Source organism: Homo sapiens, chromosome 7, assembly GCF_000001405.40.
Source record: "Homo sapiens chromosome 7, GRCh38.p14 Primary Assembly".
Taxonomy (NCBI): domain Eukaryota; kingdom Metazoa; phylum Chordata; class Mammalia; order Primates; family Hominidae; genus Homo; species Homo sapiens.
Window position 1 is genome coordinate 74289320 of NC_000007.14, and position 21175 is coordinate 74310494.

Here is a 21175-nt window from a genome sequence, read left to right on the forward strand (position 1 = left end):
CCGCGAGGCCGCCCACGCGCGCCTGACCCGCCCCCCCCTCCCGCCCGCCCCAGGCCCCGCCCTCCCGCGCCCGCCCCTGCGCCGGCCCCTTTTGTTCCCTCCCGGAGCCGGGCCGCTGGCTCCGCTGGCTCCGCTGGCTCCGCGGGCGCTCAGCTCGGCTCGGCCGCGGGGCGCGCAGGCGGCTGCTGGGCGGCCTCGGTGCGCGCCTCCCGCCTTCCCAGAGACGTGGCGCGAGGCCCGGGCCCTGAGCACCTATCGCGGGGATCCCCGGCGCCAGGAGGGGGTGCAGCCGGTGGGCAGCGCCGCGCAGGGAGGGGCCGCAGCATCCTCGCCCCCCAGCGCGCCCGGGCCCGAGAGGAGGAGGCCGGGGCTCTCCGGGCCTCCCGCCGCTTAGCCTGATGCTGGAAGGACGAAGGTAGGGGCTGCTGGAGGGGCCGAGGGAGGGGGTCGCGCGGGCAACAAAGGACGGAGAGATGCGGGGGGCGGCGGCCTGGCCGAAAGCGGGGCTGCGGGCCCGGAGGCATTGTCGGGGCGTGGGCGGGGGCGGGAGGGTTCGAGGCCGGCCGGTGGGCGTGGGCGGGAGCTGGCTGGGGTGTGCCCCAACTTCCCCGTTGCTTGTAGGAGAGGAGGGGGCACTGCTTGGGGTGCCAGGGTTGGGGGCTATTCCCGGGCTGCGGGTCCCCCTGTTGAAGGCATCACCAGCCTCATCGGGGTCCCTACCCTCGGACGGGGGTTTGGCCCTTCTGTTGGAGGGTCGCCCGTACCCCCTTCCAAGGGCAGAGCAAGACGGCTGGACGCGCCGCAGGGCTCTCTGGGCTCACAGAGCCTGGGGAGCACAGCCTGGTGGGCGCGGCCATGCAGCCCCCATCTCCAAACCTGGGGTCTGGGAGAACAGGGACTGCCCCCCTCTCCTCCCTGCTACACCCTCTGGGGTCGCCTGGCCGATGGCCTTTGCAAAACTTGGTTGAAGTGCTTGGCTGAGGTGGGGTAGGAGGAGATTGAGGCGGGCGGCTTCTCTCAGGGGGTGTCCCCCCAAGCTGGCGCTGGTGGCTGGTGAGGCAGCAGATTTTCTGCCCTCCTCCCGGGGAGGGGCGGCGGCCGCGGAGGATGCTTGGCTGAACCTTCAGGGCCCGCCCGTTTGGACCTTTCAGGCAGAGCTTGGGCCGAGCGGGTGCCCACTGGGCACTGCCACGCAGGCCCCAGCCCCACCCTGGGAAGGACGGGCAGAGGGAGCACCTTGGGGGGAAATCACCCACCCAGCAGTGTGTCCCCCAACGTCTGAGACCCCTCCTCTCACTTCTGGGTGAGAAGTGGGGGTCTGGGATGAGGGGGTCTGCCGTCACTCTTGCGCGATGCCTGAGGGAGGTGGGTGGGGTGGCCTAGGGCTGTGGGCAGAGGAGGAGGAGGGTGCGGGGAGCACCACGTGTGTGCTTCAGAAGCCTCTTCCCTTTCGGTTGTAAATGTAAACAATAAGCCCTTCATTCAGCTGCTGTTACCTGGCCTGGCACTTCTAGGGGCTGGCTGGTCCACAGGACAGCAGCCTCGGTGTCCCCAAAAAGTGCAGCCCCGGGGGTTGATGAGTGCATTAGTGGGGAAGCTGGGGGCATAGAGGGGGTCCCCTGGAGGATGGGGCAGACCAGGAAGCTTCATAGAGCATCTTGCAGAAGTTTGCTGCCAGGTTGCCTGAAGGGGGTTTCGTGCAGGAGAAATAGCGTGAATAAGGGCTTGGAGTCAGAAAAGGAGGCTATTGGGTTAGAGAAACAGCTTAGGATTTAAGGAACTTAGACCTGCGTTGAGCACAGGATGCATTCTTGTCTGCAGTGCCTTGCGGGGGAATGATGGGATTCTGGCTTCAGGACAGGTGGAGGCGGTGGAGATGGAGAGGGGCTCCAAAGGCAGAAGAGGCAGGTGGAGGCGCCTGGGAGGAGCCTCCTCCACACACACCTGTGTGCACCTGCAAACTCCAGCCCTCAGCACCGTGCAGGCTGGGAAGGTGGTGCCTGGAATTCTGCACTCAGAGCCCAAAGTCCCAGCAGGGGGAATTTACTCCAAGGAGCAGTAATCGCTTTCCGGCATCTGCTGTCTACCTTGGCGGTGAAGAGTTCAGATGCTGGAGCTTAACAGCCCGGGTTCAAATCCCAGCTCTGCCACTCCCTAGCTATGTGACCTTGCACATTGCATCTCTCTCTGCCTCGACATCCTCATCTGTAAAATTGGGATCCTTATGGTATCTGGCTTTTAGGGTTGTTAGGAGAACTGTGTGCCCTGTGACAGAGTAGATGTCCTATAAGTGTTGTTGCTGCCGTACAGAGTGGCTTCCTGGCCCCACTCACACACGTTTCAGGGAGAGGAGGCTCGTGCCCCTTCCAGGCTGTTTGTCCTTCTTCAGCACCCTTGCTGGTTAGCCCTGACCCGGCACCTGCTGTTCTCTGCCTCACTGCAGCCTCCTCCCTGGTCCTGCCTCCCTTGGTGATAGAAAGGCCATCTCCCCACAGCCCCAGTTGTCCCTGCTCCCCACCTGGCAGGCCTGCCCACGTGTGGTCCCCCAGTTCCCTCTTGGCCTCCCCTCCTGGCCCTGCCACCCTGACAGTTGATCCTGCCCTCTTTTTTTTTTTTTTTTTTGAAATGGAGTTTCACTCTTGTTGCCCAGACTTGAGTGCAATGGCGCGATCTTGGCTCACTGTAACCTCTGCCTCCTGGGTTCAAGCAATTCTGCCTCAGCCTCCCAAGTAGTTGGGATTACAGGCATGTGCCACCATGTCCGGCTAATTTTAGTATTTTTAGTAGAGACGGGGTTTCACCATGTTGGCCAGGCTGGTTTTGAACTCCTGACCTCAGGTGATCCACCTGCCTCAGGCTCCCAAAGTGCTGGTATTACAGGCGTGAGCCACTGCACCCAGCCAGTTCTGCCCTCTTGACACCACCTGCTCTACCTCCACTTCCATACACAGGGGAGGGAAGCTGCATTTGTGACCCTCAGATTCCCTGCTCATTGGTTCTTGTGAGAACTTCAGCTTTTGTGCAGGTTGAAAAAAAAAGTATATATTAAGTGCTTACTTTGTGGAGAATTGTTCTGAGCTTTTTTGAGACAGCATCTTGCTCTGTCGCCCAGGCTGGAGTGCAGTGGTGCCACCTCGGCTCACTGCAACCTCCACCTCCCAGATTCAAGTGATTCTCCTGCCTCAGCTTCTCGAATAGCTGGGACTACAGGCCCATGCCACCAAGACTGGCTAATTTTTTGTAGTTTTAGTAGAGGCAGGGTTTCACCATGTTGATCAAGCTGGTCTCAAACTCCTGACCTCAAGTGATCCGCCCACCTTGACCTCCCAAATTGCTGGGATTACAGGCGTGAGCCACCACGCCTGGCCTGGTTCTGAGCTCTTTAAATTCATTCCTTCATTTGTGGATATTTTAATAAGGTTGCCTACATTTTACAGATAAGAATATCCTGGCACAAAGAGGTGGCTGTGTCTGCCCTTGATGGATTTGCTAAGCACCTACTGTATGCCTGGGAGGCATGCTTCCTTCGGCCACACCATTCTACCCACCCTCTTCGGGTTCATGTCCCTGAACAATTATGATTCTGCCTTCTCAGACACCTATCCCTTTTGCTCAGGTGCAAAGTCCAAACACGCTATCTAGCTTTTAGGGTCCGCCCCCAGTTGGCTGTATCTTTCCACTGCAGCTCTCCCCATGCTCCCAGGCTGGGCACACCCAGGCTTGCCTCACCTAAGGCTGACGTGGCCCCTTTAATAAACTGTGAGGAGTGGGCATGGTTTGAGGAGCAGGGCTGGCTTTGAGGGTGGTGTGGGGGTGCCCTCCGATCCCATACCTTTGGGATTATTTTGTTGCAAGGAACAGGAACCTGCTTCAATTAGGTTAAGTGAAAAGGGACTTAAGAGTGGAGAACAGAGAACTTGTGCAGCAAACAATTGGAGGCGACCTGGCCCCCCGGGACCCCGGAAGCTGGCAGGCAGCTCCTCCTCTGGCTTTCCTCTCTGTGGACTGCGGTTTCATTTTTTCGGCCTCTCTCAGCGCATCTGTCCCGTCTCCTTCTCCTTTCCCCTACAGGCTCCGTCTCCTTGGGTTGTGAGTGTGGCTGTGTTGAATGGGGCTGTAGCCTGAGTCCACGGGACCTCCCAGTGGGGGTCTCCTTCATCTTGGGGTGCAGAGAGACACTGATTGGTCCAGCCTGGATGAGGAAGCCCACCCGCCTCTGCTCGGCTAGTGGGGGGGCAGGTCACGTGGTCTCTGGGGCTGGCACAGTTGGGATAATTGGTTGGCTGCATTGATGATGAAGGTTGTGTGTTAGGTGAGGACCAGCAAATCTGGGCATTCAGGGAGTTCATGAGCTGATGGGGGAGGCAGACCCGTGGTCAATTAGCCATTGTGCCACAGGATGTGGGACTTGCAGCATGATTTGTTGAAAGAAACCAGAGTGCACTGATCAGGCCAGTGTGGGGAGGAGAGGACAGGTGGGATGGCCAGGGCTGCCTGCCACTGGCTTCCCCCAGCCCTGCCCCGGGACAGGAGGAGGCTCTCTCCTTTCAGGACCTGGAGATTTGGGTCCAACCGGCAGCGTGGGACTCGGGCTTTTTTTTTGTTTTTTTTTTTGAGATGGAGTTTCGCTCTTGTTGCCCAGGCTGGAGTGCAGTGGCATGATCTCAGCTCACCACAACCTCTGCCTCCCGGGTTCAAGTGATTCTCCTGCCTCAGCCTCCTGAGTAGCTGGGATTACAGGCACGCGCCACCACGCCTGGCTAATTTTTGTAGTTTTAGTAGAGATGGGGTTTCACCATGTTGGCCAGGCTGGTTTCGAACTCCTGACCTCAAGTGATCTGCCCGCCTTGGCCTCCCAAAAGATAAGGAGTTCAAGACCTAGTATTACAGGCGTGAGCCACTGCGCCCAGCCAGAGCCTCCTATCCTGGCTCTTCTCACTGGGCTGCAAGGCTAGGGCCGTCACAACAGAACCAGTAATACAAAACTCATGTTTGCAGAGGAAATGCTTCAAAATGTTAATGAAACGTTTCCCTTCTGAATAGAAGGCAGAACAGGCCAGATGGTTTTTATTAACGAGGCCTGAATTTAGGACCTTCTCTACTTAACGGCTTCTGTCTTGATGGAGCGTTTCTTGCTCCATGGCTGGGATCATACCTTCCACTCTAGCCTGAGCCCTGAGCGACACCCGCTCCCGATTCATTTCCCTCCTTTGCCTTTTTGGTCCCTTGGGATGAGAGGGCGGAATTTCCGGCTCACCAGGAGGAGCGCCTGGTTTTTCAGCGTCACCCCCGTCACCCTGAGGTCTCAAGCTGGTCTGCCCTTGCCTGTAGCTAAACCTGGCTGATGCTGCCCTAGCTCCTTTTGGGGGTGCTCCAGCCCCTGCCCACCTCACAATGTGCAGCATTGAGCTTCCACAAGCTTTTACTAAATTGGGAAGACATCCGCCCTGCTTCCTGACAATGTAAACAATATCAGCCCTTTCCAGAAACATTTCAAGGCCAGACACTTTGATGCCTAGTGGAGCTGTTGGCTGGGCAACGGCTGCATATTGATCTGAAGGTTATGCAGGGAGGCTGGGCTCTGGTGTGGTGGGTGGGGTAGTCTGAAGGGCTTCCTGGAGGAATAGAACTGGGGCTAGGTTTTGTTTTGTTTTGTTTTGAGACAGGGCCTGGCTCTGTCACCCAGGCTGGAGTGCAGTGGCGTGATCTCGGCTCACTGCAGCTTTGACCTCCCAGGCTCAAGCCATCATCCCACCTTAGTTAGCCTCTATTAGCTGTGATTACAAGTGCATGTCACCATGCCCAGCTAATTTTTATATTTTTTTGTAGACAGGGTTTCACCGTGTTGCCCAGGGTGGTCTCAAACCCCTGAGATCAAGCGATCCTCCCACCTTGGCCTCCCAAAGTGCTAGGATTATAGGTGTGAGCCACTGCACCCAGCTGGGGCTGAGTTTTGAAGCATAGGTGGGCTTGAGGCAGTTAAGGAGGGCATTCATGATGGGGGCAAAGGGAGAAAAGTTGAGAAGCTGGGGCAGCAGGGAGTAGAGTGTCTGTCTAGGGGCTCAGTGAAAAACTCACCATTCTCCCACATTGAGTGTGAAGTTGGGGGAGTTATACTGGCGGCGGGGAGAAGTAACGTTGGATGTCTGGGTTTTTTGCCACCTCGTACCTTTCTACTTCGCTAGCCTGTTCCCTTTTGTAATGTAGGCTGTTCCCTGCACAAATCCATTCATTTGTTTCTTTACTTTGCTCATGTTCAGCTTCTTTGGAGCCAGGGGCCACAGAGGAGAGGGAAGACATCTGAAAGGGGCTTGTGTGTTCTTCATCTGATTCCAGAAAGGACTTGAGGTGATTTACAAAGATAAACGCAGTATAACCAGATTAAAAGTAAATGAGAAAATTAGGCCAGGCATCAGGGCTCACGCCTGTAATCCCAGCACTTTGGGAGGGCAAGGAGGGAGAATCACTTGAGCCTAGGAGTTTGAGAGCAGCGTGGGCAACAGAGCCAGACTTCATCTCTACAGAAAATTAAAAAATTAGCTGGGTGTGGTCCCAGCTACTCTGGATGCTGAGGCAGGAGGATCTCTTGAACCCAGGAGTTTGAGTCTGCAATGAGCTATGATCGTGCCACTGCACTCCAGCCTGGATGACAGAGTGAAACCCTGTCTCCAAAAAAAAAAAAAAAAAAAAGCGTTTTTATAGAGATAATCAAGTTCAAATGAGGTCATTTGGGCCCTCATCTAATATGACTGGTGTCCTCATCCAATATGACCATTGTCCTTGTAAGAAAAGGACATTTGGACACAGGCATGTTCAGAGGGAAGACCACAGGAGGAACCAGGGAGAAGACAGCCATCTACACGCCAAGGAGAGAGGCCTCCGAAAAAAACAACCCTGCTGTGCCCAGCACGGTGGCTCAAGCCTCACGTCTGTAATCCCAACACTTTGGGAGGCTGAGGCAGGCAGATCACCTGAGATAAGGAGTTCAAGACCAGCCTGGCCAACATGGTGAAACTCTTGTCTTTACTAAAAATACAAAAATTAGCCAGATGTAGTGGCATGCACCTGTAATCCCAGCTACTCGGGAGGCTGAGGCAGGAGAATCACTTGAACCTGGGAGGCAGAGGCTGCAGTGAGCTGGGATTGCCACACCACACTCCAGCCTGAGCAACAGAGCGACACTAAGAGGGCCGAGCACGGTGGCTCACGCCTGTAATCCCAGCACTTTGGGAGGCTGAGGCAGGCAGATCATGAGGTCAGGAGTTCAAGACCAGTCTGGCCAATGTGGTGAAACCCTGTTTCTACTAAAAAGATAAAAAATTAGCCGGGTGTGGTGGTGTGCACCTATAGTCCCAGCTACTCGGGAGGCTGAGGCAGGAGAATTGCTTGAACCCGGGAGGCAGAGGTTGCAGTAAGCTGAGATCGCGTCACTGCACTCCAGCCTGGGTGACAGAGTAAGATTTTGTCTCAAAAAAAAAAAAAAAAAGAGAAAAGAAAAAGAAACCAACCCTGCTGATACCTTGGCCTTGGACTTCCAGCCTCCATAGCTGTGAACGCTACATCTCTGTTGTTTAAGCCACCTAGTCTGTGGTCCTTTGTAATGACAGCCATAGCAGACTAATATAGTCCCTAAGACCAGCATTTGTTCCCTTGCAGACACCATCGTCCCCAGTTACTTGCTGATCAGCAGTGGGTCGCCTTTCTGACACAGGTATCTGGGCTCCTGGCTTGCTGCTTTCTCCTTGGAGTCTGTGTCCTCAGTCAGCTTGGGCCTGGGGTGCAGGGGAAGAGATGCATCTGTACAGCTGCGGAATCCTGGTGTAAGCTCAAGAGAGCCTCTAAGGGCAGCTGTCCCAACAAGAGCAGGGACCAGCTGGGTGTGGTGGCTCACACCTGTAATCCTAGCACTTTGGGAGGCCAAGGCAGGAGGATTGCTTGAGCTCAGGAGCTTGAGACCAGCCTGGGCAACCTAGCAAGGGCCCATGTCTACAAAAAATAAGAAAGAAATAACTGGGCTTGGTGGCGCCTGCCTGTAGTGCCACTGGGGTGGGAGGAGCTGAGGCAGGAGGATTGCTTGAGCCTGGGAAGTTGAGGTTGCAGTGAGCCATGATTGTGCTACCACCCTCCAGCCTGGGGGACAGAGCAAGATCCTGTCTCAAAAAAAAACCCAAAAAACCGAATAAGAAAACAAAAGCAGGGCCCCCCCTTTGAGAGGAAGCCTCAGCCTCTGTCTACTTGAACCCCTCCAGTGATGGGGGGCTCACTGCCTGTTCCTTTGTTTGTGGGACCTACCCCTGGGAACACTCCATGCCTTGCGTGCTTAGGGGACCAGCCTTTCCAGCACGACCTGTCAGTTGGAATGTTGATCTGCTTCTCTCTGTCCTTCCCAGAGATAGCTCCAAGCAGGCTGGGTGAATGTGGCTATGGGGTGTGAACAAGGCACTGTAAGAATCCAACTCGATGGGAGGAGGACGAGAGTAGCGGAGGAGGGCATTTTTTTCTTTTTTTTTTGAGATGGAGTCTCGTTCTGTCACCCAGGCTGGAGTGCAGTCGTGCCATCTTGGATCACTGCAACCTCCACCTCCAGGGCTCAAGCGATCCAGAGGAGGGCACTTTAATGCATTCATATATTCACTAAACATGTATTTTTGAGCTCCTCTATGGTCTGGGTGCTGTCCTAGGTACCGAGAACCCAGCAATGAACAAGATATGCAAAGATCTTGCCCTCCTAAAGCTGCACCCACGGTCCGGTGCAGTGCCCACGCTTGCAATCTCAGCGCTTTGGGAGGCCGAGGCAGGAGGATCACTTGAGCCTAGGAGTTCGAGACCAACCTGGGCAACATAGTGAGATCCTGTCTCTTCTTTTATTTATTTACTTTTTTTTGAGACACAGTTTCACTCTGTTGCCCAGGCTGGAGTGCAGTAGCGTGATCTAAGCTCACTGTGATCTCCACCTTCTGGGTTCAAGCAATTCTCATGCCTCAGCCTCTCCAGTAGCTGGGATTACAGGTGCCTACCACCACACCCTGCTAATTGGTTTTTTTTTTTTTTTTTTTGTATTTTTAGTAGAGACAGGGTTTTGCAGTGTTGGTCAGGCTGGTCTTGAACTCCTGATCTCAGCTGATCCACCCAGCTCGGCCTCTGCAAGTGCTGGGATTACAGGCATGAGCCACCACACCTGGCCCCTGTCTCTATTTTTATTTATTTTATTTTATTTTATTTTATTGAGACAGAGTTTCACTCTGCTGTCCAGGTTGGAGTGCAGTGGCGTGGCGTGATCTCGGCTCACTGCGGCCTCCGCCTCCTGGGTTCAGGCGATTCTCCTGCCTCAGCCTCCCAAGTAGCTGGGACTACAGGCACGTGCCACCACACCCAGCTAATTTTTTGTACTTTTAGTAGAAATGGGATTTCACCATGTTGGCCAGGCTGGTCTCAAACTCCTGACCTCAGGTGATTGTCACCGCCAGCCTCGGCCTCCCAAAGTGCTGGGATTACAGATGTGAGCCACTGTGCCCAGTCTGTTTCTATTTTTAAAAAACGTTTAAGTAAAAAAGTTGCGCCCAGTGAGAGGAAGGGCATTCTAGGAACCCGGCATGGCACGTGCAAAAGCCTGGACGTGTGACCTAGTGGATATGAATGTGGGTGGGTGTCTGTGGCTTTCAGCCAGAATTTGATGACTAACATGCAGTTCCCTTTCTGGAAGCAACAAAAGAAAAAACACTGATGTTGAGGCCAGGTATGGTGGCTCACACCTGTAATCCCAGCACTTTGGGAGGCTAAGGCAGGATGATCACTTGAGCCCAGGAGTTGGAGACCAGCCTGGGCACCTTGGCAAAACCCTGTCTCTATAAAAAATACAAAAATTAGCCAGGTACAGTGTCTATAATCCCAGCTACTCAGGAGGCTGAGGTGGGAGGATTGCTTGACCCCAGGAGTTTGAGGCTGCAGTGAGCTGTGATTGTGCCACTGCATTCTAGCCTGGGCAACACAGCAAGACCCTGTCTAAAATAAATAAATAAATAAATAAATAAATAAATAAATAAATAAAGGCCCTGCCTTGAAGGCTTATTAGTGACTGTCCTAATCCCTGGGCCACCAAGTTCTGTTCCTCCTCCACTCTCCCCACCCATAGTAGTGTGCTGGGCTGCCCCTCAGGGGCATAGCAGGTGCTCATGGCCTGCTGGGTTCATCTTTTCTCCAAGCCACCACACCCTGGAGTGGACCCTGGTTTGCACCCTGTCGCCTCTGGCTGGGGCCGCTTATGCCACTCAGGGACCAGGCCTGAACCTCAGTGGGCTCAGCCTCTTCCCCAGCCCTTGCCTGCAGGAGAAGGTGTGGGAGTGAGAGCACCCTGGGGTGCTGACTCGAGGCCCTTCTTCTTCTTCTTTTTTTTTTTGAGACGGAGTTTCGCTCTTGTTGCCTAGGCTGGAGTGCAATGGTGTGATCTCGGCTCACCGCATCCTCCACCTTCCGGGTTCAAGCGATTCTCCTGCCTCAGCCTCCCAAGTAGCTAGATTACAGGCATGTGCCCCCATGCCCGGCTAATTTTGTATTTTTAGTAGAGACAGGGTTTCTCCATGTTGGTTAGGCTGGTCTCGAACTCCTGATCTCAGGTGATCCACCTGCCTTGGCCTCCCAAAGTGCTGGGATTGCAGGCATGAGCCACTCCACCCAGCTTTTTTTTTGGACGGAATTTTGCTCTTGTTGCCCAGGTTGGAGTGCAGTGGCACGATCTCAGCTCACTGCAACCTCCGCCTCCTGGGTTCAAGCGATCCTCCTGCCTCAGCCTCCCTGGTAGCTGGGAATTCAGGTATGCACCACCACACCTGGCTAATTTTTGTATTTTTAGTAGAGATGGGATTTTGCCAGTTTGGCCAGGCTGGTCTCGAACTCCTGACCTCAAATGATTCACCCGCCTTGGCCTCCCAAAGTGCTGGGATTACAGGCATGAGCCCCCACACCCAGCCTCTTCCCACCTTTTGTAGTCTCCAGCGTCTATTATTCCCCTCTGTATTTTCATGTATACCCACTGTTTAGCTCCCACTTAGAAGTGCAATCATGTGGTATTTGATTTTCCGAGTTGTTTTCTAGGGATAATGGCTCCCATCCATGTTGCTGAAAAAGACATGATTTCATTCTTTTTTTTTTTTTTTTGAGACGGAGTCTCGCTCTGTCGCCCAGGCTGGAGTGCAGTGGTGCCATCTCGGCTCATTGCAAACTCCGCCTCCCAGGTTCACGCCATTCTCCTGCCTCAGCCTCCCAAGTAGCTGGGACTACCGGCGCCCGCCACCACGCCCGGCTAATTTTTTTATATTTTTAGTAGAGACGGGTTTTCACCGTGTTAGCCAGGCTGGTCTTGATCTCCTGACCTCATGATCCACCCGCCTCGGCCTCCCAAAGTGCTGGGATTACAGGCGTGAGCCACCGTGCCCGGCCTGATTTCATTCTTTTTGATGGCTGAGTGGCATTCCGTGGTAGACATATACCGCATTTTCTTTATCCAGTCCTCCCTTGACGGACACATATGTTGATTCCATATCTTTGCTCTTGTGAATTGTGCTGTGATCAACATACCAGTGCTGGTATCCTTTGGATAGAATGAATCATTTTCCTTTGGGTAGATGGCAATTAGTAGGATTGCTGGATGGAAGGGCCATTCTATGTTCAGTTCTTTGAGAAATCTCTGCACCATTTCTCATAAAGGTTGTACTAATTTACATTCTTACCAACAGTGTATACGCGTTCCCTTTCCTCCACATCCTCTCCAACATGCATTGTTTTCAGGCTTTTGAATAATAGCCAGTCTTACTGGCTTAAGATGGTATCTCATTGTGATTTTAATTTGCATGTTCTGATGATCTGTGATGCTGGGCATTTTTTATATGGTTCTTGGCCGCTTGTATGTCTTCTTTTGTGTGCACTCTTTTTATGTCCGACTTCTTTCACTTGAGATTGTAATTGCAAGGTCCTTACACATCATTGCATGCAGTTGGCATTCATTCATTCTCATTGCTGTATGTTATTCTATTGTGTGAACAAACCACAACTTATTTACTTATTATTATTATTGTTATTATTATTGAGACGGAGTCTCGCTCTTGTTGCCAGGCTGCAGTGCAATAGCGTGATCTCGGCTCACTGCAACCTCCACCTCCAGGGTTCAAGTGATTCTCCTGCCTCAGCCTCCCGAGTAGCTGGGATTACAGGCACCCGCCACAATGCCCGGCTAATTTTTTTTTTTTTTGTATTTTTGGTAGAGACGGGGTTTCACCATGTTGGCCAGGCTGGTCTCAAACTCCTGACCTCAGGTGATCCGCCCACCTCCACCTCCCAAAGTGTTGGGATTACAGGCGTGAGCCACTGCGCCTGGCATTGTTTTTTGTTTGTTTGTTTTGTTTTTTTTGTTTTTTTGAGACAGAGTCTTGCTCTGTTGCTAAGACTGGAGTGCGCTGGCGTGATCTCGGCTCACTGCAGCCTCTATCTCCTGGGCTCAAGTGATCCTCCTGCCTCAGCCTCCCAAGTAGCTAGGATTACAGGTGCCCTCCACCACACCAGGCTAATTTTTGTATTTTTAGTAGAGATGGGGTTACACCATGTTGGCCAGGCTGGTCTCGAACTGCTGGCCTCAAGTGATCCACCCGCCTTGACCTCCCAAAGTGCTGGGATTACAGGCACGAGCCACCATGCCTGGCCTTATTGACTCATTCTAATGGTAATGGATGTGTGGGTTATTTTCAGCGTTGGACCTTTTTTTGTGGCTGGTGGTTCTGAGCATGCCAACTCTGTGTGTGTGTCTAGCTCCCGCGAGACAGACAGGCTGGGCGTTCCCAGGGCCCTGTGGTCCCTCAGGCTGTTGGCAGGGCAAGGAAGATGCCTCCTTTATTTTTTATTTTTTTTATTTTAAAAATTTTTTTGAAATAGAGTCTTACTCTGTCACCCAGGCTGGAGTGCAATGGCGCGATATCAGCTCACTGCAACCTCCGCCTCCCTGGTTCAAGCGATTCTCCTGCCTCAGCCTCCCAAGTAGCAGGGATTACAGGCGCACACCACCACGCCCAATTAATTTTTGTATTTTAGTAGAGATGGGGTTTCACCATGTTGGCCAGGCTGGTCTCGAACTCCTGACCACAGGTGTTCCACACACCTCAGCCTCCCACCAGGCCTGGCCAGAAGATGCCTCCTCTAAAACTGAGGAACCACAGCCCTGAGCTCGGACATAGTGAGAAAGGTAGCATGTGGGACCGGAACCCAGGCTTCTAGACTCAACCCTTGCTTGTCTCCCAGCTGCAGGTGCCAGAGAAGTTGGGGTTTGACTGGGGCACTTGGCCTGGGTCTGTCCTGCCCTGCTCAGCCCAGGAGCCCAGAGCCCTGCACTGTGTAAACCTGGTCCACACTATCCACTGTGGTCTTGCCAGTTTCATCTCCCTCCCTCCTGTTTGAAGCCACGTGGGCTTGTGGAGCCTGGGTTCCAGCCCTGGATCTGCTGTGATGCTGGGGCAAGGCCCTATCCCCACGCTGGCTGTCAGCTGTCCCCACTATCTGGATGGCCGCCAGGCCAATGGGTGCTCTCAGGGCAGCTCGGGATTTATCCCCACCCCATTCTTCCTGGGGCTCCCTCGTACCTCTACTGCTGGCCAGCAGCTGTGTGTGTTGCCTGCACAGCTGGGGCTGCAGCTCCCCGCAGGCCTGGCAGAGAAGACTGACCAAGTATGGGTGGAGACAGCAGTACAGACAGCCGGGCACCCTCCCATCAGCTCTCCCAGGCCTGAGGGATAGTGGGTATAAGGCTCAGAGCTTCAGGTTCCGCCTCAGAGCCGGCAAGACTCACAGGGAAGGGGCCGTCCAGCCCTGCCCTCTTCTTGCCCTGGTCAGGGAGGATGTGGAGACTCTAGCTTCACCACTGGGTGACCTAAGTCAACCTTCTCAGATTCCCTGAGCCTTGGGCAAATGCAAACAAAGCTGTGTGGGATGGATGGGCAGTGGGGTCCGTGGAGCAGGTGAGGTGCCAGCCTGGAGTGGTGTTACACCCAAGACCCCCTGCTGGATTCTGCATGGTGCAGGATTGGGGTGGGACTGGCATTCTAGTGCATGTGTGGGCATTGGGGTGCTGGGTAGGGCTTGGGGAGCCCCCTTCATGCTCAGAGAAGGGCTCACCATTGGCTCAGAAAGCCTGGCCTGGCAGTGAGCATTTTGGGGTCCTCTCTGTTGGGGGCTTGCCTCTTGGTGGCTGTGCAGTGGAGATAATGTTTCCTTCTCCCTCCCCTTGTGTCTCTTATTTTTTTTTTTTTTTTTTTTAGAAATAGGGTCTTAGGTCAGGCGTGGTGGCTCACGCCTGTAATTCCACCACTTTGGGAGGTGAAGGCAGGCGGATCACCTGAGGTCAGGAGTTCGAGACCAGCCTGGCCAACATGGTGAAACCCCGTCTCTACTAAAAATACAAAAATTAGCCAGTTGTGGTGGTGCACTCCTGTGGGCTCAGCTACTTGGGAAGCTGAGGCACAAGAATCGCTTGAACTCAGCAGGCGGAGGTTGCAGTGAGCTGAGATCGTGCCACTGCACTCCAGAATGGGTGACAGAGTGAGACTCGGTCTCAAAAAAAAAAAAAAAAATAGAGTCTTGCTCTGTGGCCCAGGATGGGGTTCAGTGGCAGGATCACAGATCACAGCTCACTGCAGCCTCAAACTTCTGGACTCAAGCAATCCTCCCACCTTAGCCTCCTAAGTAGCTGGGACTACAGGTGTGTGTCACCATGCCTGGCTAATTTTTTTTTTTTAATAGGAGGTGAGGTCTCACTGTGTTGTCCAGGCTGGTCTCGAACTCCTGGCCTCAAATGATCTTGCCTTGGCATCCCAGAGTGCTAGGATTGCAGGCGTGAGCCACCGTACCTAGCCTATCTTTATTTTTCTTTTAAAAAAATGATTAAGAAGCCGGGCATGGTGGCTCATGCCTGTAATCCCAGCACTTTGGGAGGCCAAGGCAGGTGGATCACCTGAGGTCAGGAGTTCAAGACCAGCCTGGCCAACATAGTGAAACCTCATCTCTACAAAAATACAAAAATTAGCTGGGCATGATGGCAGATGCCTGTAATCCCAGCTACTCGGGAGGCTGAGGCCGGAGAATGGTTTGAACCCGGGAGGTGGAGGTTGCAGTGAGCCGAGATCACGCCATTGCACTCCAACCTGGGTGACAGAGGGAGACTCTGACAAAAAAACCTGGGCGACAGAGGGAGACTCTGACAAAAAAAAAAAAAAGTTTAAGAAATCTGTTAGATATTCAAAGGAGTAGACAGGATACATTGAACACCCATGTGCACCCCATAGGGCTAGGAAACAAACCTTAGAAATATAACAAAGGCTGGGCATGGTGGCTGATGCCTGTAATCCCAGCACTCTGGGAGGCTGAGCCAAGAGAATCACTTGAAGCCAGGAGTTCAAGACCAGCCTGGGCAACATAGTGAGATCCTCTCTTTACATAAATTAGCCGGATATGGTGGCATACACCTGTGGTCCCAACTACTCGGGAGGCTAAGGAAGGAGGATCACTTGAGCCCAGGAGTTCAAGGCTACAGTGAGCTATGATTGCATCACTACACTCTTGCCTGGGCAACAGAGGGAGACCCTGTCTCCAAAAATAAATAAATGAATGAATGAATAAATAAATAAATAAATAAAGTCCCCAGTTACCCCACCCCAGTCCCCTCCCACCACCAAACCACCCCTCCCTGCTCTTACAATGGAGTTCATCCTGTGGGTGGCTCCAGGGCAGGCAGGCCAATTGCCAGGGAGGACCCTCTAGGGGACCATCCATCCCTCCACTGTACACTTACGTTCCCTGTCCAGCCCAGGCACTGTGCCATCCGTGCCCACCCACCCACTGCTCTGCCCCCTCTCCAATACTTGGCATTGCCAGGCCTTTTGACTTGCCCATTGGATGGGGCACCCTGGGTTTGCATTTTCCTGTTCCTGGGGAGGCACAGCAGCTCTCTGTCTCTCAGCTGGTGGGTTGTGCAGCCTGGCCTCCCCCGCAAAGGCTGGTCCCATTCCTGCCCACCTGTCGTTGGGTTGCCCTCAGGTTTGTGCCCTGTGGTTGCTTTGAGTTCTCTGCTGCAGCCCCTACCTCCCCCCACCTCCCTCCCAGTGTCCCCTCTCTGTCCCAGATCAGGCCTCATTTTGTTTGTTGTTTGTTTGTTTTTGAGACGGAGTCTCACTTTGTCGCCCAGGCTGGAGTGCAATGGCACCATCTCAGCTCACTGCAATCTCTGCCTCCTGGGTTCAAGTGATTCTCCTGCCTCAGTCTCCCAAGTGGCTGGGATTACAGGCATGCGCCACCACGCCCAGCTAATTTTTCTATTTTTAGTAGAGATGGGGTTTCGCCATGTTGCCCAGGCTGGTCTTGAACTCCTGACCTCAGGTGATCCTCCTGTCTTGGCCTCCCAAAGTGCTGGGATTACAGACATGAGTCACCGCACCCGGTCACATTTTAGGGATCTGCTTCCATCTCAGCAGCCCCCAGCTGGCTTCTCTCCCTGCACCCCAACCCCCCCCCACCGCCCCTGCTGCCAGTTCACCATCATCCTCAGCTCCCAGAGCGGTCTTGCTGGTGTGCTTGTCTGATTGTGGGGGACCCCTGGCTTGGAGTCTCTCTGTGGCCCCTCATCCCCTCAGCCTGATTGCTGGGGCACGTCCAGGAGACCCTGCCTGTCTCTCATACTCTCTAGATCCCCTGCTGCCTTCCAGCCCCACCAGATCCTTGGGTGTTGGGTGGACCTGGCAGAGTGTGGTCAGTTTCCTTTGCGGGATCCCAGACCCTCTGCCCCGCAGGTGCTGCCTGCCCAGGCTCCCGGTTACGGGTCCCTTGCTCCTCCGAGAGGTGCTGTTGTGCCTGGTGCCCTAGGGCTTGTGGCATGTGGGCAGGGGCTGTGCTGAGCCTACCTCTGGGGCCTGATTGTGGGGACTGCGGGTTACACCTCAGGAAGTGTGGGCATGAGCACCCCAGCTGCTGGGACCCCCGAGGGCCCTGGAGAGAGTGGGCTCTGGTGAAGGCTGGATGTGACCCACCCCAGCCAGCAGCAGTGTCCCTGCCAAGCACCTGCCCCTCCGGGAGAGAGCCACGTCCGGGGTCTCTGCAGGCGTGCCCGCTTCCTGGCTCCTGCCTCCCTCGCCCCAGGATGAGGCTGGCCCGCCAAACCAAGATGGGCTTTCCACTGCTCTATTTGGCACCCGTCCCCCTCCGCCGGGGCCCTGATTGGCAGAGTTCCGAGGCTGCAGCCCGCCACCCCCGGGCAGCTGAAATGGAAGGCGTGAAATGCAGCCGGGGCTTGTCTCTGGGAAACGGCATCGGAGGGTGGCACAAAAGGGGGACTGTTGGTCTGAATGCCACCCCGCCCTCGCCTGTCCGTCCTGTGCACCAGGGCCTCCAGAGAGTAGTGACAGTCCCCTTCCCGAGCAGCCGGGCATACTCCTGGGGTGTCTTCTCTGCCTCACTCCCAGGAGGTGGTGACACTTGTACCCCATTTTACAGGTAATGAAACTGAGGCTCTCTCTGGGCCAAGGGCTCACAGCCACTCGGAGAAAGTCTGGGGTTTGGAGCTGGGACTGCCCCAGGCTTCCCCGCCTCCCACGTCGGCCACAGTGTGGCCAGAGGCCAATTTATCATCAAGTCCCAGCGTTTTCCAAGAATCCCTCTCTCTTCCTCTGTCCCACCAGCACAGCTGAGTCACACGAGGGCAGGTGGCCTCCCCCTTCTTCCTGTTCACTATTCTCCCCTCTCCCCTTCCGGGTGCTCCTCGGGGACAGGGGGGCTGCTCCCCCTCTGCACCCTTCTCCCCCTCCCACAGCAAGGGTGGCCGGGCCTGACTGAATGCCGCCTTGGTTCTCCTCTCCTGCCAGCTCTTTGGTTTCCTTTGTGAGCCGTGGCAGGCGGACGCTGTCCCCAGAGGCCAGGGGGCTCACAAATGTTATTCCAGGGCTGGGCTCGGCAGGATGGGAGGTAGGGAAGGGCCAGACCCGGGTCTGATTCCAGGACAGCCACTTAGCAGTGTGTGACTTTGAGTCCCCGAACTTCTCTGCACTCGGGAAGCTCCACCTGTCAGAGGACCTCTGCCTTGTGCAGGGGCTGGGGAGGACATGAGGCCACATTCGTGCAATGCCTGGTAGACAGTAGGTTCGTTTTTTTGTTTTTGGTTTTGTTTTGTTTGAGTGTCGATCTGTCGCCCAGGCTGGAGTGCAATGGCACCATCTCGGCTCACCACAACCTCCGCCTCCTGGGTTCAAGTGATTCTCCTGCCTCAGCCTCCCTAGTAGCTGGGACTACAGGTGCCCACCACCATGCCTGGCTAATTTTTTTGTATTTTTAGTAGAGACAGGGTTTCACTCTGTTGGCCAGGCTGGTCTCAAACTCCTGACCTTGTGATCTGCCCGCCTCAGCCTCCCAAAGTTCTGGGATTACAGGCATGAGCCACCGTGCCCGGCAACAGTAGGTTCTTCATACTGGAGGCTGCTGGGGGGTGGTTCAGGAGGGCTGGAGGTTAATTTTGGGAGCGTTCCCTGGGAGTAGTGTTTCTGGGGATTTGTGTCCTCTGGGCGGCTGTAGGTGTGTTGTCGTGGGAATTCCAGATCATGGCTCTGTGCCAGGCACCATGGCTCAGGCTGGGTTCCCAGAGAGGAGAGACTATGGCCCTGCCTGAAGTTGCCTGTAAGCTCCCAGGTGGCATGACGAAGACAGACAAGAACAGCATACTCTCTCCTCCTTGGCTCCACATGTGATCCTGAGGTCTCTGTGGGCCGAAGGTCCTGAGAGACTTCCTGGAGGAGGTGGCATCAGGCTAGGTGTCAGTAGGTAATGCAAATAGGAGAAGTGAAGCAGGTGGGAGAAAAGACACAGGTGGCCTCTGGGAGGTGGGACAGTGTCAGGCGGGTGGTAAGGACTGCAGGGTCATCTGCAGGAGCCTCCAGTGCCAGGGACAGGGTTCTCACGCCTGATCTCTGCCTCAGAGGGGATGCTGGCTGGTTGGGAGGCCAGACCGGCTGTGTGATGACCTGTGGTGTCTGACCAGCTGGGCTGATCACCACAAGCCACTCAGACCTGAGTGCTATGTCCTAAGGAGGTGAGAATGGTGTCCTGGACTTCTCACCTCTTGGGTAAGTATCATTCATTCATTCATTCATAATCTAGTTTGTTTATTTATTTATATTTATTTATTTTGAGATGGAGTCTCGCTTTGTTGCCCAGGCTGGAGCATGGTGGTGCGATGTCAGCTCACTGCAACCTCCGCCTTCCGGGTTCAAGCGATTCTCCTGCCTCCACCTCCCAAGTAGCTGGAACTACAGGTGTGTGCCACCACGCCCAGCTAATTTTTGTATTTTTAGTAGAGACAGGGTTTCACCACGTTGGCCGGGCTGGTCTCAAACTCCTGACCTTCAGTGATCTGCCTGCCTCGGCCGTCTTTTCATGTGCTTATGGGCTGTTTATATATCTTCTTTGGTGAAATGTGTATTCAAAGTGCTGAGATTACAGGCGTGAGCCACCATGCCCGGCCCTTTTTAAAAAATTTTTTTAACTTTTTTAGAGACAGGGTCTCACTCTGTCACCCAGGCTGGAGTGTGGTAGTGTGATCACAGCTCACTGCAGCCTCAACCTCCTGGGCTGAAGCAATCCTCTCACCTTAGCCTCCCCAGTAGCTCGGACTACAGGCATGCACCACCACACCTGGCTACATTTTGTATTATTTTGTAGAGATAGATTTTCGCCATGTTGCCCAGGCTGGTCTCAAACTCCTGAGCTCCAGCAATTCACCCACCTCGGCCTCCCAAAGTGCTGGGATTACAGGTATAAGCCACTATGCCCGGCCTCTCCCATCTTAAGTGTATGGTTTGGGCCCAGCATAGTGGCTCACACCTGTAATCCCAGCACTTGGGGAGGCCAATGCAGGTGGGTCACCTGAGGTCAGGAGTTTGAGACCAACCTAGCCAACATGATGAAACCCCGTCTCTACTAAAAATTAATTGTATGGTTTGATGACTTCTAGTATAAACATAGAGTTGTGCAACTATCACCACACCCCAGTTTTAGGACATTTCTACTACCCAGAAAGTTCTCTGTGCCCATTTGCAGCCAATCTGTGTTTCCAGGCCCAGGCAACCACTAATCTGCATTCTGTGTATACGGTTTTGAAATTTCATATGAACGGATTCATACAATATGGAGTCCTTCGTGTCTAGTTTCTTCTACTTAGCAAAATGTTTTAAACATTCATCCGGCCGGGCGTGGTGGCACACGCCTGTAATCCCAGCACTTTGGGAGGCTGAGGCGGGTGGATCACCTGAGGTCAGGAGTTCGAAACCAGCCTGGTCAACATAGTGAAACCCTGTCTCTACTAAAAATACAAAAATTAGCCGGGCGTGGTGGCACACACCTGTAGTTCCAGCTACTTGGGAGGTGGAGACAGGAGAATCGCTTGAACCCGGGAGAATCGCTTGAACCTGGGTGACAGAGCGAGACTCCATCTCAAAAAAAAAAAAAAAGCATTCATCTATGTTGCACATATCAGTAGTTCTTTATTGCTAAGAAGTATTCTATTATATAAATATACCACTTTGGGCCAGGCATGGTGGCTCATACCTTTAATCCCAGCACTTTGGGAGGCTGAGGTGGGGGGAATTGCTTGAGTCCAGGAGTTCAAGACCAGCTTGGGCAATATGGCAAGACCCTGTCTCTACAAAAAAAAAAAAAAAAAAAAAAAAAAAAAAAAAAAAAAAAAAGTTCAGCCAGGCGTGATGGCGCATGCCTGTAGTCCCCTACTGGGGAGGCTGAGGTGGGAGGATTCTTTGAGCCCAGGAGGTCGAGGCTGCAGTGAGCCATGATCATGCCACCACACTCCAGCCTGGGTGACAGAGACCTGTCTCTGTTCTAAAATAAAAATGAAGACTGGTCATGGCGGCTCAATCCTGTAATCTCAGCACTTTGGTAGGCTGAGGCAGGAGGATCCTTTCAGTCCAGGAGTTCGAGACTAGCTTTGGCAACATAGTGAGACTCCAGCTGCAAAAAATAAAAAGTTAGCTGGGCATGGTAGCACTCGCCTTTGGTCCCAGCTACCCAGGAAGCTGAGGTGGGAGGATCACTTGAGCCCAGGAACTTCCAGGCTGCAGTGAACCATGATTGCACCACTACACTCAGC

At 54.0% G+C, this 21175-nt stretch overlaps 1 protein-coding gene across 3 annotated transcripts in view, besides 8 other annotated features; it reads left to right on the forward strand.

Annotated features, from left to right (window-relative positions):
* Positions 7–476: a silencer, noted in NCBI's record as "silent region_18277". NCBI's record gives its function as "represses an Ori minimal core promoter by ATAC-STARR-seq in GM12878 lymphoblastoid cells {active_cell/tissue: GM12878}" and the evidence as "EXISTENCE:reporter gene assay evidence [ECO:0000049][PMID:35858748]".
* CLIP2 (CAP-Gly domain containing linker protein 2) overlaps positions 88–21175 on the forward strand; it is a 116529-nt gene continuing 95441 nt past the window's right edge. For all 3 annotated transcript variants that reach the window (NM_003388.5, NM_032421.3, XM_047420800.1), the window contains exon 1: positions 88–415. The gene's annotated coding sequence lies outside the window, so the exon portion shown is untranslated. The remainder of the gene's footprint in view (positions 416–21175) is intronic.
* Positions 442–1086: an enhancer, noted in NCBI's record as "H3K27ac-H3K4me1 hESC enhancer chr7:73704091-73704735 (GRCh37/hg19 assembly coordinates)". NCBI's record gives its function as "activates a minimal SCP1, AML or CMV promoter by ChIP-STARR-seq in naive H9 embryonic stem cells {active_cell/tissue: H9 hESC(naive)}" and the evidence as "EXISTENCE:reporter gene assay evidence [ECO:0000049][PMID:30033119]".
* Positions 497–566: a silencer, noted in NCBI's record as "silent region_18278". NCBI's record gives its function as "represses an Ori minimal core promoter by ATAC-STARR-seq in GM12878 lymphoblastoid cells {active_cell/tissue: GM12878}" and the evidence as "EXISTENCE:reporter gene assay evidence [ECO:0000049][PMID:35858748]".
* Positions 1087–1730: an enhancer, noted in NCBI's record as "H3K27ac-H3K4me1 hESC enhancer chr7:73704736-73705379 (GRCh37/hg19 assembly coordinates)". NCBI's record gives its function as "activates a minimal SCP1, AML or CMV promoter by ChIP-STARR-seq in naive H9 embryonic stem cells {active_cell/tissue: H9 hESC(naive)}" and the evidence as "EXISTENCE:reporter gene assay evidence [ECO:0000049][PMID:30033119]".
* Positions 5260–5554: a silencer, noted in NCBI's record as "tiled region #1083; HepG2 Repressive non-DNase unmatched - State 1:Tss, and K562 Repressive non-DNase unmatched - State 19:H4K20". NCBI's record gives its function as "represses a minimal TATA promoter and a strong SV40 promoter by Sharpr-MPRA in HepG2 and K562 cells {active_cell/tissue: HepG2 | K562}" and the evidence as "EXISTENCE:reporter gene assay evidence [ECO:0000049][PMID:27701403]".
* Positions 17642–17786: an enhancer, noted in NCBI's record as "145 bp enhancer 193 fragment used in the MPRA reporter construct; PK_construct_3564". NCBI's record gives its function as "activates an SV40 promoter by MPRA in K562 cells {active_cell/tissue: K562}" and the evidence as "EXISTENCE:reporter gene assay evidence [ECO:0000049][PMID:23512712]".
* Positions 17709–17719: a transcriptional cis regulatory region, noted in NCBI's record as "NFE2L2 motif; enhancer activity is reduced when this motif is scrambled". NCBI's record gives its function as "necessary for full MPRA enhancer 193 activity {active_cell/tissue: K562}" and the evidence as "EXISTENCE:site-directed mutagenesis evidence [ECO:0005528][PMID:23512712]".
* Positions 18594–19232: an enhancer, noted in NCBI's record as "H3K27ac hESC enhancer chr7:73722243-73722881 (GRCh37/hg19 assembly coordinates)". NCBI's record gives its function as "activates a minimal SCP1, AML or CMV promoter by ChIP-STARR-seq in naive H9 embryonic stem cells {active_cell/tissue: H9 hESC(naive)}" and the evidence as "EXISTENCE:reporter gene assay evidence [ECO:0000049][PMID:30033119]".